The following is a 17,996-nucleotide window of genomic DNA, read 5'->3' on the forward strand; positions in this document are numbered from 1 at the left end:
AGGAGGCTGAGGCAGGAGAATCGCTTGAACCCAGGAGGCAAGAGGTTGCAGCAGTGAGCCGAGATCGTGCCATTGCATTCCACCCTGGGCAACAAGAGCAAAACTCCGTCTCAAAAAAAATAAAAATAAATAAAACATATACAGTTCTTCTGGGGAATTTTGTTGCAAAGGGAGCAATGAAATGAAGCAGTGGGGCAAAAAGGCTCAAGAAAATAATTTGGTTTTAATTTTTTTTTTTAACACTGAAGAAATAATAGCATGTTTGTTTGATGAGGATCCAGTAAAGAGTAGGGAGAAATTATGTAGGATAGTGGGAGATAATTGCTGGAGCTGTGGCCTTGAGTTGGTGAGGGGATAGGATCATCTAGTGCATAAGTGAGGGGATTGACTTCAGATGGGTGGAATATTGGTTGATGAGTACATGTGCTGGAGAGCGTCGATAAATGTTCTCTTATGGCTTCAGTTTTCTGATTAAAAAATTACCAGGCCAGGCATGGTGGTACATGCCTGTAATCCTAGCACTTTGGGAAACTGAAGTGGGAGGATTGCTTGAGCCTAGGAGTTCCAGACCAGCCTGGGCAACACAGGGAGACCCCATCTCTACAAAAAAAAAAAAAAATTTAAATAAAGAAAATTAGCCAAGCATGGTGGCGCACATCTGTGGTCCCAGCTACTTGGGGGCTGAGGTGGGAGGCTCGCTTGAGCTGGGGAGGTCAAGGCTGCAGTGAGCCATAATCATGCCACTGTACTCTAGTGTGGGTGACAGAGCAAGACCCTGTCTCAAAAAAAAAATCGAATTATCAACCATACGAAGGTTGAAGTGCTGAGGTTTTATATATACTTACGGTCTTTAACTTCTACTACTAGCATTTGAGGGATCTTTGGTGACTAAGATGACTTTTATTGTGCTTTCTGAAGGAGTTATAAACTTAACCCAGCAAATTTGTATGTCTTGAGAATTCAGCACTATATTCTGAGATTAAATAATGATGCATGTAATAATGCCTTTGGCACAGCACACAGTCTCTTATAGACCCTCAAGAAATGCTAACTATTTATTAGAGGATATAGAGTTGGTGTGCACTAAATTAGACTTATTTCATCTCTCTGGTCCCAGAAGATACCTTATCATTGTTTTAAATGTTATGTAAGTTAGAGCTTGACAGTAATAAGTAAATATGCTATACATATTATAAATGACAGTCCTTTGACATCTCTTCTAATGTTCTCTCTACTTTACAATGTATAGTCTGTCTTCATACAGTGACATAGCGATATTATTGGCTCCAGTGATCAGCAGGGAGTCTTGATCAGAGGCTCCATAGATGGATGCTTTGTTCTTACATGTTTCATTATTTTATCATCAGAATCCTATGTTAATTTATTTGTATAGGGAAAATAAACAGTTTTTGTGTATAGCATCTGCCTTTAGATTATAAGCTCCCAGAAGGTAGGTAATAATTCTTACACATTTCTAAGAAGTTTTCATATTTTTTTGGTAGCTCACACACACCTGTAATCTCAGTTACTCGGGAGGCTGAGGCAGGAGAATCACTTGAACCCAGGAGGCGGAGGTTGTAGTGAGCCGAGATTGTGCCACTGCACTCCAGCCTGGGCAACAAAGCAAAACTCTGTCTCAAAAAAAAAAAAATTAAAAATTAAATTAAAAAAATAAACTTAGGGCCAGATGCAGTGGCTCATGCCTGTAATCCCAGCACTTTTGGAGGCCGAGGTGGGTGGATCACCTGAGGTCGGGAGCTCAAGACCAACCTGGCCAACAGGGTGAAACCCCATCTCTACTAAAAATACAAAAATTAGTTGGGCGTGGTGGCACATGCCTGTAATCCCAGCTACCTGGGAGGCTGAAGCAGGAGGATCACTTGAGCCCAGGAGGCGGAGGGTGCAGTGAACCAAGATCCCACCATTGCACCCCAGACTGGGTGACACAGTGAGACTCTGTCTCAAAAATAAATAAATAGCTGGCTGGGTGCGGTGGCTCACACCTGTAATCCCAGCACTTTGGGAGGCTGAGGCGGGTGGATCACCTGAGGTCAAGAGTTCGAGACCAACCTGACTAACATGGTGAAACCCCGTCTCTACTAAAAATACAAAAATTAGCTGGGCATGGTGGCAGACGCCTGTAATCCTAGCTACTCAGGACGCTGAGGCAGGAAAATTGCTTGAACCCAAGAGGCGGAGGTTGCAGTGAGCCATGATCGCACCATTGCACTCCAACCTGGGCGACAGAGCGAGACTCCATCTCAAAAAAAAATAAAAATAATAAATAAATAAACTTAGATATTCAGTTATATTTGGCCTTTAAATCAGGGCTGAGACCCTTCCATTCTTCTGGAAAATTCTGGAGCTAAATTATACTGGGCTTAGTGGCAGTCAGAATACCTCCAAATGCTGCTTTTCCAAATAACTTTCAGAAGGAAGTAGTAGTCAGATTTCAGAGTAAGCATATAATAATAGAACATAATTGGTACATAGAGCTGTTGGAATGCTATAAAAACTGGCTTCATAATCATAAAAAGAAATTTGTTAGAGAATAATATTCAATTAAATACAGCATATTGAAAATCAAAGAGAGATAAATTGACATTATGTAAATACAAGAAAATGGCCCTGGTTACCTTTATGTACTGTATCAAGGTATACAGTGAGTGAAGTCAGAGAAATGATATTCTTACTAAATACGAGAATCTAATTGTTGCCAGGAATTTGATGGAAAAAGCAAGCTGAAATGACCATTTCACTCTACCGTGGCCAGTATGATTAAGAGATGAAAGTGAGAGGACTATTTCCTTTATAAGAAGTAACTATATTTGAGACTCTAATTTTAGGTTCAATAATAAAGATAATTTGAGGAGGCTGTTTACGAGAATTTATGAAGTAATATTTAGCTATTCGTGCAAATGACTGAGAAATTCTCAACTATTCTAGTCTAGGTTCCCATCAAATTTATAACAGTTATTTCTAAAGCATCAAAACATCCAACTTCATGAAAGTATTTTAGGCTGAGTGTAGTAGCTCATGCCTGTAATCCCAACATTTTGGGAGACCAAGGCAAGAGGATCACTTGAACCCAGAAGTTTGAGGCTGTAGTGAGCTATGATCATGCCACTGCACTATAATCTGGATGACAAAGTGAGACCCTGTGTCTTGTTGGGGGGAAGGTATTTTAGATCTATAGAAAATATCAAACAAGTCATTTTAAAAGTTCACCCTGTGTTGAACCTTTACTTCTTTTCTGTGTGTTATAGGTCCAGTGGTTTACGTCTTGGATCTTGCAGATAGACTGATCTCAAAAGCCTGTCCATTTGCTGCAGCAGGAATAATGGTCGGCTCTATCTATTGGACAGCTGTGACTTATGGAGCAGTGACAGTGATGCAGGTTCACTATTTTACCTATATAGTGATATTACTTGGTGTGAAGATCTATTAAAACATTTTTTGTTAGACATTTAAAAGTGTATTATTTTGAATAAGAAATAACATTCTCATGTTCTTTCTAAATGTTATTTCCCCTACTTTTTCTTTACCCAAAAAGGAGCATATTATAGCTGTATCTCCCTTTTTTCATAGTGAATCTTAGAGATCATTTCATATAAGTATGCAGAAATCTGCATAACGTTCTATCTATAGAATTACAGCCATTTACTAACCAACTTGTCTCTTGTGGATAGACGTTTAGTTAGTCCAATGTTTTGCTATAAAAACAGTGCTGCATAGCTTGCAATCCCAGCACTTCAGGAGGCCGAGGCAGGTGGATCACCTGAGGTCAGGAGTTCGAGACCAGCCTGGCAAACATGGTGAAACCCCATCTCTACTAAAAATACAAAAATTAGCTGGGAGTGGTGGCAGGTTCCTGTAATCCCAGCTACTCAGGAGGCTGAGGCAGGAGAATTGCTTGAACCCAGGAGCCGGAGGTTGCAGTGAGCCAAGATCACACCACTGCACTCCAGCACAGGCGACAGAGCGAGACTCCATCTCAAAAAAAACAGTGCTACATAGAACTTGGATAAGTGGTCAAAAATAAAAATTAAAAAAAAGGAAAGAAAAACAGTGCTACAATCAGTAACTGCTGCTGAATATTAGAGAGACATAAATTTCAAAATTTAGTCCCAAGCCGTTGACTCTTCTTTTTATACCTTCTTCTTAAAGATTTCCAGCTATCAACTTAGTTTTTTTGTGTGTTCAGGTCTTTTGTCCTGTTCTTTTCTCAAATCCAGTGCTGCAATGATCTCTTGTGACTTCATACTCAAAATTATTGAAATCAAACTTGTCACTTCTTCCATTTGAAACCTAAATTTATTCTCCGTCATCGTTCCTTTGTTTCTGTTTCTATTTTCCCATCTATAGTTTACATCCTTTTTTTTTTTTTTTTTTTTTTTTTGAGACAAGGTCTTGCTCTGCATAGCCCAGATTGGGCATGTGGTGGCACAGTCATGGCTCACTGCAGCCTCAACTTCCTGGGCTCAGTCATCTGTCCACCTTAGCCTCCATAGTAGCTGGAACTATGGGTGTGTGCCTCCATGCCTAGCTACTTTTTTCTAAGGATGGTGGGAGGGGTCTCACTATGTTACCAAGGCTGATCTCAAACTCCTGGGCTCAAGTGATCCTCCCACTTCAGCCTCCCAAAGTGTCCCAAAGTGCTGGAGGTACGGGTGTAAGCCACTGCACCCAGCCCATCCTATATTTTTAGAATTACGTTTGACTCTTCACCCCCCTCAATACTCCCCACAAACCGCCCCCCGACAAAACAAAGTCTTACTCTGTCACCAAGGCTGGAGTACAGTGGCGCAATCAAGGGTCACTGCAGCCTTACTCCTGGGCTCAAACGATCCTCCTGCCTCAACCTCCCAAGTAGCTGGGACTACAGGCACACACCACTATGCCCAGCTAATTTTTTATTTTTTGTAGAGATGGGGTCTTGCTGTGTTGTACAGACTGGTCTCAACCTCCTGGCCTCAAGTGATCCTCCCACCTCAGCTTCCCAAAGTGCTGGGATCACAAGCCTAGTGAGCCCATCTGGCCTAGTCTTTCTATTTTATAGCCTTCTATTCAGTCCACTGACCAAATACAAGCAGTTTTTCCACTTTGATGTGTCTTGTGTCTGTGGCTTCCTTTCCACAGTCTTTACCACCTGACTTCTTGTCACTTCATCATACCTGGATGGCTAAAGGACCTTCTTGGTTTATCTGACTTCATGTTCTTCTGTCAATCCATCCTTCCAAATGAATCCTCTTAAAATAGTACCTTCAAAATCTTACTCCCCAGCTTAACATCTCCATTGCCTTAAGTAGTAGTCTTCAAGAGCAGCATCTAGATTGGTTAAGTGTTTCCTAAGTAACTCTGTAGTAGTGAACACACTTAGGTTTGTAGATGATATAATTTGCTTTTCTTTAATATAAATTAGAATTTACATGAACAAAAAAGGAATGCTTGGAATTTTACCTAATATTCCAGGAACTGCATATGTATCTATGCCAGGGTCAAACCTTTATGGCTTGCTCCATTAATGGTCATGGTGAGACAGAGTATTATGAGACTTCCTTATAAAATGATGATGACATCCCAAAAATATGGATACAGTTAAATGAATCACAAACAGTGAAACATATCTGACATGAGTGTAGTGAATAAAGTTTGAGAACCACTGACTTGAACTTTAGCATGATTTGATACACAGGGTCCTCTGTAATCGTACTTCGTTCTGCTTTAAGGCTGTTGGGCTGTCTCCTCCAACCCATCCTTATGTTGTGTAGTTTTTCACCTCTGTCCTTTGGCTTACGTCACCTTCCCAACCTAATACCTGCCCTTCTAGTCTTCTGTGTACTTATCCAAATCTAAACCCTCCTTCCAGGCTTAGCTAGCTTTCCTCCATAGAACTTACAGGCAACTCCTGCCTGCTGTGATTCCTTCTTCCCCCACATTCATGACATTTTTATTCCTCAAATGGCAGCTAGTCCTGCCCTGATGAAGTGACATTTCTTATATAGATTATCTGTTTAACTTTTCTTGTTTTTAGGCCTTATTTTTCCTGTTAGGAGGTAATTTCCTTGAAAGCAGAGTCCATTTTATGCTTCTGTATTCCCTGTTACAGCATCTACATAGAAACTAACACATTAAAGGGTTTCATAAATCTTTGTGGTTTTGTTTTTTGTTTTTTTGTTTGAGACAGAGTTTCGCTCTTGTTGTCCAGGCTGGAGTACGGTGGCGTGATCTCAGCTCACCGCAACCTCCGCTTTCCGGGTTCAAGCGATTCTCCTGCCTCAGCCTCCCGAGTAGCTGGGATTACAGGCATGTGCCACCACGCCCAGCTAATTTTGTCTTTTTAGTAGAGATGGGGTTTCACCATGTTGGTCAGGCTGGTCTGGAACTCCTGACCTTAGATGATCTGCCTGCCTCTGCTTCCCAAAGTGCTGGGATTACAGGTGTGAGCCACTGCACCCGGCAGTCTTTATGTTTTTTATGTGACCACTTCAAATAATGAGTATTAGTACATCACCTGAGGAGGGAGGATCAGGATGATTTACTAAGACTGAGAAAGACATAGAAACTTAGAGCAGATTATACATTATTTAATGTACAAATACATTATATAGATATATATATTTTGCAAATGAGATTGAGTTATTTTCTTAAGACTTTATTGACCATAAGAAGTGAGATGGCTCTTTTTTAAGAAAGATTTTTAGGCTGGCACAATGTTAAAAGAATTTTGATAATTAATGGGGCACTTGTTAAAACACAAATAAATTGAAAACTCTGATCCCCAGCATCAAGGGATATAGTCCAAGACAAGACGTTCATAAATGAAACCACTGGAGAACAGTTACAGGTTAGATAGATAAATGTGATAAGAGGGCAGAAGACTATATAAACAATATTTTAATTCAGTAAAAGTGAAAGATAATTTGATTTGAAATTATGAGAAAAGTCTTGAGCTAACCCTTAAAGGAAATAATTTGAATTGGTAGAATGAAATAAGCAAGGAAGCAAAAACTATAGTACACATATGTGTTACCATTTAGAAATAACCTTCACATGTAATGTCTCACTTGAAAAGATTTTTTTTTTTTAGCCCAGAAATGAGACTAGCTATGACAGTAGGTGGATAGTGTTGTGTGATTTAAGAGTATTGGGAAGATGACTTTTACCTTCCTGAGCACATATGATAGAGAATGTGCCCCTCTACACCATCAGTAGTATTTAGGGTTTGCCTTCTAACACTTGATTGTTTTTCTCTGATTCCTTAACAACCCTGCAGTACAAGTAAACCAAATCAAGGAATCAGATCACTGTTATTTTCCCATTTATTTTCTTTCCTTCTCCATGGACCTGTCATAGAATCAATACTTTTTAGTTGTGGGGAACTTGAATAGGACCTTCCTCTTGCATTTTTATTGAAAAGACAACACAATAATTTTTTTTTCTCGGCACTGTATTGAACACCTAGCACTGATGCATTTAACCCTTGCAACAATTTTATGACATAGATTATTGTTATAAATTATTCCTAGTTTACTGGTTTAGAGAGTTTACAGGTCCAGTGCCACACAGCAGAGAAGCATTAGGACTCCTGTCCCTTGGCTCCTTAAGTGAAGCCTGGTCCCAGAGGCAGCTGGAACATTTTATCCTGGAACAGTGGAACCTTAATATGTTTAGCCTAGTTCCCATTTTTGCCTCTAGTGCAAAGACAGCCCCCATTAGCATTGCCCATTCTTAATTACAGTACTTACTTATCCTTGATTCTGAGTTAAAAAAAAAAAAACCCTGTTATTTCATCACTGTTTCATCCTCTTGTTAGGATTCTGGCCAGGTGCTGTAGCTCATGCCTGTAATCCCAGCACGTTGGGAAGCTGAGGCAGGCAGAACCCTTGAGGCCAGGAGTTGGAGACCAGCCTGGTCAACATGATGAAACCCCATCTCTACCAAAAATACAAAGAAAAAATTAGGCATAGTGGCTGTATTCCCAGCTACTCCGGATGCTGAGGCGTGAGAATCGCTTGAACCTGGGAGGCAGAGGTTGTAGTGAGCCAAGATTGCACTCCAGCCTGGGCGACAGAGCAAGACTCTGTCTCTAATTAATTAATGTAGAATTCTAATAATAATTTAAAAGCTCAGACCTTAATTAAAACTGTTAGCCTTTCAGCAGCAATGAACTGCAGGCCTACCTAGATATGAAAATCTAGCTTTTAGCCCTTCTGCAGGAAAAACAAAAAATTATTTTTCTCTAAACCTGCAATTCTATAGGTCTTTTGTTTTTCTCTTTTTTTTTTTTCTTTTTTTTTTTTTTGAGACAGAGTCTCATTCTGTTACCCAGGCTGGAATGCAGTGGCGCAGTCACGGCTCACTGCATCCTCGAACTCCCTGGGCTCAGGTGATCCTCCCACCTCAGCCTCCTGCACAGCTGGGACTACATACACATGCCACCACGCCCTGCTAATTTTTGTATTTTTTGTAGAGACAGGGTTTCACCATGTTGCCCAGTCTCAAACTCCTAGACTCAAGTTACCCACCTACCTCAGCCTCCCAAAGTGCTTGGATTACAGGCGTGAGCCACTGTGCCCAGCCAGGCCTTTATTTTATACATAGATAACAAATTCTTAGACATTCTATATAATTCCTGGAGCTTACCCCAAAATCGAAGTCTTAAAAATAATGTTTTTAAATCTTGGGACAAGAAAGCAGAATGTATGTGATTACACACAGGTTCACTGACTTTGTATTGGCCAAAATTAAATCAGGCCTATTGCTTAATCACCTTTCATTTATTGCCCCTGAGTATGACTGTTTTAGCAAGTGGTGTACTGCAGGTGTTATACTACCTTATTTCTTCACAGTGTATATATTTGCACACTTGTTTGGTTTGATTTTCTCTCACTTTCAAAAGACATCTGTTTAACCTGCCATTTTAGCCCCAGCACAAAATCATTATTCAGTGAATGAATGAATGCATGTGTGAATGATGAGCCTCATCCCACTTCTAACTTGCTTGAGCATGGGGCATCTCTCTTCACTTTAGTTGTAACAAGTGAAATACTGGGCCTTTGCTCATTCTTTGCCCTATTTCCTTCTTTTTTTTTTTTTTTTTTTTTTTGAGATGGAGTTTCACTCTTGTTGCTCAGGCTGGTGCAATCTCGGCTCACTGCAACCTCCACCTCTTGGGTTCAAGCGATTCTCCTGCTTCAGCCTCCCGAGTAGTTGGGATTACAGATGACCACCACCACGCCTGGCTTGTATTTTTAATAGAAACGGGGTTCCACCATGTTGGTCAGGCTGGTCTCAAACTCCTGACCTCAGGTGATCCGCCTGCCTCAGCCTCCCAAAGTGCTAGGATTACAATTGTGAGTCACAGTGCCCAACCCCTACTTCCTTTTTGTTTCCTTATTCTTAAACACCTTATAAGGTTTTTACTGCTACCCATGAGAAACAAACTTCCTCTTGTTCGCTCTAGTCTATACCTGAATATTCACTCTTCTTTATATTTCTAAACCCAAAAAAAGGACACATAACCCGACAAAGGATTTTTTCAAATATTCTGAATTTATTTGCTAACACTTTGAGAATATTTAATCATATTTAGTTATAATGTTAGAGTGATCATTATATTGAAATTTTTAATGATATAAAAATAGAATTTCTTAGCCAGACGTGGTGGCACTCATCTGTAGTTCCAGCTACTCAGGAGGGTGAGGTGGGAAGATTGCTTGAGCCCAGGAGTACAAAGCCAACCTGGGAAACGTAGCAAGACCCTGTCTTTTTTTTTCTTTAAAGGAATTTCCTGGCCGGGCGTGGTGGGTCACGCCTATAATCCCAGCACTTTGGGGGGCCAAGGCAGGCGGATCACCTGAGGTCAGGAATTCGAGACCAACCTGGCTAACGTGGTGAAACCCCATTTCTACTAAAAATACAAAAAAGTAGCCAGGTGTTGTGCCATGTGCCTGTAATCCCATCTACTCAGGAGGTTGAGGCAGAAGAATAGCTTGAACTCAGGAGGTGGAGGTTGCAGTGAGCCAAGATCATGCCAAGACTGAAACTCCGTCTCAGATAGATAGATAGATAGATAGATAGATAGATAGATAGATAGATAGATAGATAGATAGATGATAGATATATAGATAGATAGATAGATAGATAGATAAAGAAATTTCCTGGGAAATCATTATAGGTAAAACAGTCATGGCCAGCTAACTTTTGCTACCATTATGGAATTGGGGTTTATGAAATATCATAAACCAGACCATTTCACTTTAGGGCAACTCAAAAGGATCACCTTCCACATGCAAGATAGGAAGTTGTTAAGTTCTACCTGGAGACACAGAAGAATATCAAATTCGATGACATTATTGACCATTAGGAAGAGGCTAGCCTCCTGCCCTTTAATATTACATCTTAATTAGATAAATTAACCAAGTGGAAATCTGGACTATATCCATAGCTCAAATTTGGTCCTCTCCACACACTTTCATAAAACATTTCTGGGGCCGGGCGCAGTGGCTCACGCCTGTAATCCCAGCACTGTCGGAGGCCGAGGCGGGTGGATCACCTGAGGTCAGGAGTTCGAGATCAGCCTGACCAATGTGGAGAAACCCCGTCTCTACTAAAAATACAAAAATTAGCTGGGCGTGGAGGTGCACACCTGTAATCCCAGCTACTCGAAAGGCTGAGGCAGGAGAATTGCTTGAACCTGGGAGGCAGAGGTTGCAGTGAGCCAAGATCGTGCCATTGCACTCCAGCCTGGGCAACAAGAGCAAAAAATTCCGTCTCAAAAAAAAAAAAAAAATTTTTGGCCAGGCACGGTGGCTCGCGCCTGTAATCCCAGCACTTTGAGAGGCCGAGGCAGGCTGATCACCTGAGGTCAGGAGTTCGAGACCAACCTGGCCAACATGATGAAACCTCGTCTCTACTAAAAATACACAAATTAGCTGGGCATGGTGGCATGCCCCTGTAATCCCAGCTACTCGGGAGGCTAAGGCAGAAGAATCGCTTGAATCCAGGAGCCGGAGGTTGCAGTGAGCCAAGATCACACCACTGCACTCCAGCCTGGGCAACACAGCGAGACTCCATCTCAAAAACAACAACAAAAAGAGGTAAATTTAAGGCCAAGATTGATGTGGAAGTGAAAAGGATTTTGGAGAGAGGGAAAAGGTAGAAGTTCACAAATGCCAATTTTGTATTTCTCGCCTTCTGGGATCTACACCAATTTAGAAATAGCCCCAAGACTAGGATAGGGTAAGGAAAAGATTGTATTAGCTTCATTACCCCCATAGATAGGGTACCCTAGAGTTCCTGAATTGGGAAAAATGCCTGGGATCTGTAACCAAAACTGGACCTCCTACTACAGTCCCTCAATTCTAGACCTTGGAAGTGCACTTAAGGAGGGTTAGGTCTGTAGGGTAGACACTTAGCCAGCCAGAGACATCACACCCTATCTTACACACCACTAAGTAAGGAGAAAGAGCCAAAGAGAAATGAGCTTTCAGGCCATCTCTTGAAGGCCGGTCCTACCTCTTGGCTGGCTATGCTTAATCTCCTAGAAGGAAGATCAGGAAAACAGTTGTTTTGCTGGAAGACAAATAGGACTTAGAATTATATCCCAGTTCCGTAGCCCAGTCTAACCAAATCAAATAAAGGAATAGAAGCAACAATCAGAGGTCCCCGCCCCTCTATTGTAATGTAATCAGTCTGGGTCAGCCATTTTAATTTTTATTCCTGTGTGGTATGAAATGGCTTGGGAACTTTGTTTTTCCCTTGAATGAGACATTTCTTATAAATAAATCAGGACTGATAGCTTTCCAGCTTATTTTTTAAACTTTTTATTTCTGTGTATTCTTTTGAAATTAAGCATTTTCTATTAAAAAAATAGAGCTTAACATGCAACACCTCATTTGAAAAAGAAGTAATTCTAATATATGCTATCTGTTTCACAGGTTGTAGGTCATAAAGAAGGTCTGGATGTTATGGAGAGAGCTGATCCTTTATTCCTTTTAATTGGACTTCCTACTATTCCTGTCATGCTGATATTAGGCAAGATGATTCGCTGGGAGGACTATGTGCTTAGACTGTGGCGCAAATACTCGAATAAACTACAAATTTTAAATAGTATATTTCCAGGTAAGGCACTGAACTGTGGTTGTAAAGTGCATACCAAATTGATCTTGAAGAACAATAACATGCTTTTTTAGCCATGTTTGAAGGTAGTCTAACTCTTCTGATTTATTAGCACTAACGCACTGCATTTTTTTCCTCTAGGGATAGGTTGTCCTGTTCCTCGAATTCCAGCTGAGGCCAATCCTTTAGCAGATCATGTCTCTGCTACTCGAATCTTGTGTGGAGCCCTTGTCTTTCCTACTATTGCTACAATAGTTGGTAAATTGATGTTCAGTAGTGTTAACTCTAATTTACAAAGGACAATCTTGGTAAGACGGCTTTAACATTACTTATATTACCTTGCAAAAGAGAATGAAGTGTATTTGTTTTTAAAAGGTGGGGAACTGTATAAATATTCGGTCTGTGGCTCCTATGCATTAAGCCTCTATTTGAGCCTCACTATCATTCAATAGCTTGAGTGGAAATAAAAAGAGGAGAAACCACTGCAGCAGTTCTGGCCTTTTGGAACTATGTTGTAGGTGCTTTCTCTCCTGGCATATGCATGAATCATCACACCTGTCCCTCTTGCCAGTGGGATTACAGTACTTTACGATCAGACCACCTGGTTCAAATCCCATCACAGAAATTGTCTTGCTGTGAAATCTAAATCAAATGTCTGGACTTTTTGTTCCTGTAGTATGGTGATGGTAATAATCAGGATTATTGTGAGGATTGTATAAGTACTAGCACATAGTAAGCACTCATGTTGTTTGCTATTATTGTTACTCCCACTTCTCCCCTCTGGTGGCATGTAACCTGCACGGACCTTGGAGGACTGAACAAAGGGGGCAAACGTGGGAATAAAAGACAAAGACAAGAGAGTATATTTGGAAGAAGGGGTCAGGGGGCACCTTGCCTCTAGTGGACAAGGGCCCTGAGCTTTACACAGCCCTCTGTATTTATTAGGCAAAAGAGATAGTGAGAAGCAGGGGTGATTGTCGGGTAATTGTCAGTCCATTTGGCAGTTTGGTTCACAGCAGGCTTGCGAGACTGCATCATTTGAACAGTAGGCGCTAGATTTCCCAGTAGATAAGTTCAAGGAGCCCTGCACCAGGGAGTGATGGCCCCCAGCAAACCCTTTGGTGGCAGGCTCAGTGTGAGTTTACTCACATCCTGCATTCATGATAAACAGTTTGCTGTTTGGTCATATAGCCTCCAGTGGAATGCTGAGTTGGTCACGATCCCTTTGGCCTTTCTTGCTCCCAACAGTGGCAGTCTGCACATAGTGCCCTAGCATTCTTCTTTGTATATCAGAGTATATGTAGAACTACATGGAAGAAAGACTAGTCAGAAAGGATAATGGAGAAGGCATCTGTGTCCCCTGTTACCTGTAGTAACAGCGTATAGTCTGTCTCTCTCCCTATCTCATCTCCTAGTAGAAAAAGAAAACTGTTTCATTTGCAGTCATCTGAATTAGTTTAGCATCAAAGCCTACGTCTTTTGTGATCTAAATAAAATTATTTTTATTACTCTGTTTCTCTAAATCTGCATTATAAAAAGCTAATTTTCCTTTTTATTTTAGGGTGGAATTGCGTTTGTTGCCATAAAAGGAGCATTTAAAGTTTACTTCAAACAGCAGCAATATTTACGACAGGCACACCGCAAAATTCTGAATTATCCAGAACAAGAAGAAGCATAAAACTGACTTCTGGTTGTTCTGCAGTTCTCTCATCCTTATGAATCTGTTGTGTTGTTTTGATTCCATCATTAATGCACTTGTGGAGACTTGTGATAAGCTGCTGCTCCTATATTTTTTAAGAAATATAATAAAGCACTTAGGGCAGGGGAAATCATCTCGGTAATCATGGAACCTAAGGATGTGATTTGTTTTCATTGTTTGTATGTACTACTTTTATGGCAGTCATATGAACCATTATCTTAGCATGGTAAACCTGGGTTTTGTTCATATTTTCTCCAGACAGAAATGCAAAGATCAAACTGTGCAAATATTAAAAAAATGCACATGCTGTTTTATTCAAATGCCTCTTTTGTACATGTTCATGTTTAGTGTTTTCTCAGAATCAGCAACTCAAGGTACTATGAGGATTTTTCTCACTGACATAATTTGATTACATACTAAATAAGAGGATATGTTAATATGAGGAAATGTAAATTAAATTAGTTATAAATAAATAACCAAAAATGTATGTAAACATTCAAATGATTATCTGAACAAATGAGATTTTGTGGTGTTTTCTTTAACCCATGTGATGTCCTCCAAAATGTGTAGGGTAAAAATTCACAGGGCTTCCAGATCACTTTTTCAATATTAAATTTTATTTACATAATGTTGACATCTCATACTTCATGAAGTAATTTTGACTCATGCAGTCGTGTGTGTGTGTGTGTGTGTGTGTGTGTGTGTGTGTGTATTTGTGTGTTTCAGTGTTTCATCAGGTCCTTCCATCTCTGGGAGTTTTTTCAACCCATATTTCTAGAAATTACAGCTGCCAGTTTATAGTAGTTTGAGCAGAGGATGATTTGCAAAAATAAAAATAAAGTTATTTTACTCTCCTCTTGCATTGATTCAGTTATTGAGATATTCGTTGATCACCTCCTATTTCCCAGGCACTGTGCAGAGTGCTGTAGGACATAGTGGTGAACAAGACAGACTTGGTCCAAGCTCTTACAGAGTTGACAGTCTAGTTTCAGCACATAGAAAACCAGCAGTGAATAAACCAAGGTGAGGCCTTGAGCTCTTTGTTTTTATATTAATGAGGAGAAAAGTATGAAAACAAGAAGTCTTAAGTAAATATTGAGGTCATTGTTTTTGGCTTAAGTTTATTATAGAAAATCAACACTAATGTTTTTAGATTTTAATTGTCCTATTGATGAGGCTAGCACCTTAATCACTGTTTAGTTTTGTATTCATTTTTAAAAGCAATTATTGAAGCCATTTTCAATAGATTGGCCATTTTAATGTTCAGCAACCTGAATGGTTATTTTTGTTAATTAAAATTAAATTTTTAAGAGATATTTTCAAAACCCTATTTATTTTCTTGTTCACAGTAATGCATGTCAATAATAAATGTTTCCCCTTACTGATAAGCGGCCACTTTAGGAGTGTAGCAAATATAGATTGAGCTATGTTAGTTTGCAATAATATATGTTAACTTTAGTAATTAAAGACTGGTTTCTATAGTATGAATGTCTTAATTTTGAGTTATATGATGTTTATTTGAATGACTGTTGAACATTCAAATTTGTATTATTTGGAGATGAAGATTTGACTAACAGTGAGCCTTATTAAGAACACTACTACAGTTCTGAAGGGGAAATATAACATCTATGGTTATATATTTTAAAAACTTAGATTATAGGCTGTAATTATAAAATATATTGGCTTTTGTTTTCAATGTGAAAGATACATTAAATGGACACATATCTTGCAAAATTTTGTTGTATAGAACAGTTTTTAGGCAGCCTTTACTAAAGTTATGCAAACACACAGTTCCCCATTTACTACATTAATGCCCTTGACAGGGAGTAGCTGCTTGGTTTTATAGGTATTAGGGCTCATGAAGGCCGGGGAACAACTCTAATCCTTTTGGGGCAGGAGGGAGGGTTTTTTTAGGGTTGCGGGGAGGGAACTGCAAGTGCCTGAGGACCAGAGTGGCCTCTAGCCCCGAATTGAACACTTTTAAACCTAAAGAGCCTTATTATTATTAGCTCGAGAAATACCACATGCCAGTCTTCCCAGGAAGGTGACCTGCCTGACCATGAAGCAACAAAAGAGCATAGGCAGACTTAAAGTTGGATAGACCTGGGTTCAAATCATAGTTCAGCTTTCAATAACTGTATGTATGATTTTGGCTAAAGGATTTGACTTTCTCTCAACTGCAGTTTTCTTAATCTTTGAAATGCAAATAATGTTTATCTCAGAAGACTATTTCTAGGATTAACTGAGAGATTAAAGGAACAGCAGCACTTAGGCTCAAAATCGCCCCTACAAAGCAGTAGTTGTTTCTTAATTGCTAAGTAATCTGTTTGCACTCTAGGAAAAGTAAATGGAGAGGTAAAAGAAAGGCATTGGGGACAAATGAAAGAGATGATGTAGATTTTTCGGATGGGTGGGTATATTTTATTTTCCAGTTTATTTTCATATTTCTTTACTGTGTTATTTCTGGAAACTTTAATGTTTTAAACCTCTTTTATAAAATTCAATGACGACTACTAGAATTCTTTTCAAAAGTTAACTTATCTCCAAAGTGGCTGAAAATATTGTTTACCATTACATGATTATGAAATGACTGTGAAGAATATAAAATTAAACTTAGTGACTTAATTAGTCACTGCCTTGCTAACTTTGCTGTAATTTTTTTAAACGTCTTGTTTTTAATATAGCAAACTATCTCAATACTGGCTGGATTAGGTTAAATAAAGAATTTTTATGTTCTCTAGGTGTACTTTGTTAAATCTCAAAACATTCTGTACATACATAATTTTTTTTAATCACAGTTATCGAGATACTAGTTTTTGTAAGTAAAAGTAATCTGAATTTAAAAAAAAAACTGTATGGAAGAATTTGTCCTAATTTTGTAAACAGGCTAGCCTATATTCTAAGTATGTTCTAATGACTAAACTACATCCCCACTCACCCACCCTCAAAGCCTCTTGCACTGAGTATAATTAAGCAACTAGACAAGATCTGTGGGTGGTCTCATGCCATGATGTCTTAAAGTGTATTCGAGTGAGTTGGGAACACAAACTGCTTCTGAGATATTAAGAACTTAAATTTCTGAAGTAGAAGATTAGAATCCTCTAGAATGAGTTAAAGGTCTTTTCCTTGCATCCATTTGGGGATTATATTGGTTTTAAGTCATTTCATTACCCCATCTGAGAGACAGATGCTAAGAGGAGAAAGGGCATAGAATTGAACAGTCCTGGATGCATATGCTAGCTGACACTTGATTAGCTGTAGGGCAAGTTACTTTACCTCTCAGATCTTCAATTTCCTCATCAGTAAAATGAAGATTATAAAGTCCATCTCCTGGGTTATTGTGAGGATTGAGGTAACATTCTAGGACAGTTTGATACATAAGGAAACTAAATCTCAATTTAAGTGCATAGTAGAGGTTTTGCCTACAGCCTTTTTTGGTCCACTGGAGTCAAGGTTGCTGTTTATGTGCTACTTGCCACCCAACGTGCCCATTAGAAATGGTAAGAGTGATGGAGTGTCTTGTTTAACAATTGCCTTCCTGAAACAAGGATCCTGAGCAAGGAGAATAAAGGAGGGGTTTGCATCTGAATACCCGCAGAAGCCTTACGGACAAGCAACAGAGGCTAGACCATCATTCTGGTCAATCCCGAGTGAATTTAAGCATTTTTCTGAAAATAGCTAGGCCAGGGTTACTGTATGCCAACAACATACACAACTCAAGTAGATATTTGTTGACCTATGTATGTGGCTAGATATTGTGCTCAGTCCTGGGGTTTTAAATAGTGAATAAGCCTGCTTTGAGATAGAGTCCTAAACTGCATAACAGATCTTACTATGATATTACTGTCATAAGAACATAAGATCCATAAGGTTAAAATGCTTTTTGTTTAGTTTTCTTTACACTTCCCACACTAGAACAGCACCCGCACATGGTAGGAGCATGATTGAACATTTTATGAATTTGGGAAAACACTCCTTTTTAAGATCAAAACACTTATCTTGATCCTAGTTCTTTTGGTCTCCTGAGTTTCTAAAAATTTAAATATAGTTAACCTCTTTCTGCCACTTTTTTTTTTTTTTTTTTTTTTGGCAAGAAAGCAACTTTGAAAAGGCATAAAACTGCCTGTAATCCCAGCACTTCAGCAGGCCGAGGCAGGAGGATGACTGGAGCCCA

General features: G+C 39.5%; 1 protein-coding gene across 2 annotated transcripts in view, besides 2 other annotated features; it reads left to right on the forward strand.

The window, feature by feature from the left end:
* Positions 1 to 16,558, forward strand: part of MARCHF5 (membrane associated ring-CH-type finger 5) — a 62,798-nt gene extending 46,240 nt beyond the window's left edge. For both annotated transcript variants that reach the window (NM_017824.5, XM_047425382.1), the window contains exons 3-6: positions 3,267 to 3,397; positions 11,943 to 12,126; positions 12,265 to 12,431; positions 13,685 to 16,558. In NM_017824.5, the coding sequence (NP_060294.1) occupies positions 3,267 to 3,397; positions 11,943 to 12,126; positions 12,265 to 12,431; positions 13,685 to 13,801 (599 nt within the window). In that variant the 3' untranslated portion in view covers positions 13,802 to 16,558. The remainder of the gene's footprint in view (positions 1 to 3,266; positions 3,398 to 11,942; positions 12,127 to 12,264; positions 12,432 to 13,684) is intronic.
* Positions 10,818 to 11,317: an enhancer, noted in NCBI's record as "H3K4me1 hESC enhancer chr10:94107981-94108480 (GRCh37/hg19 assembly coordinates)". NCBI's record gives its function as "activates a minimal SCP1, AML or CMV promoter by ChIP-STARR-seq in naive H9 embryonic stem cells {active_cell/tissue: H9 hESC(naive)}" and the evidence as "EXISTENCE:reporter gene assay evidence [ECO:0000049][PMID:30033119]".
* Positions 12,880 to 13,398: an enhancer, noted in NCBI's record as "NANOG hESC enhancer chr10:94110043-94110561 (GRCh37/hg19 assembly coordinates)". NCBI's record gives its function as "activates a minimal SCP1, AML or CMV promoter by ChIP-STARR-seq in primed H9 embryonic stem cells {active_cell/tissue: H9 hESC(primed)}" and the evidence as "EXISTENCE:reporter gene assay evidence [ECO:0000049][PMID:30033119]".
* Positions 16,559 to 17,996: the final 1,438 nt, after the last annotated feature.

The sequence above is a fragment of the Homo sapiens genome, chromosome 10 (genome assembly GCF_000001405.40).
Source record: "Homo sapiens chromosome 10, GRCh38.p14 Primary Assembly".
NCBI lineage: Eukaryota > Metazoa > Chordata > Mammalia > Primates > Hominidae > Homo > Homo sapiens.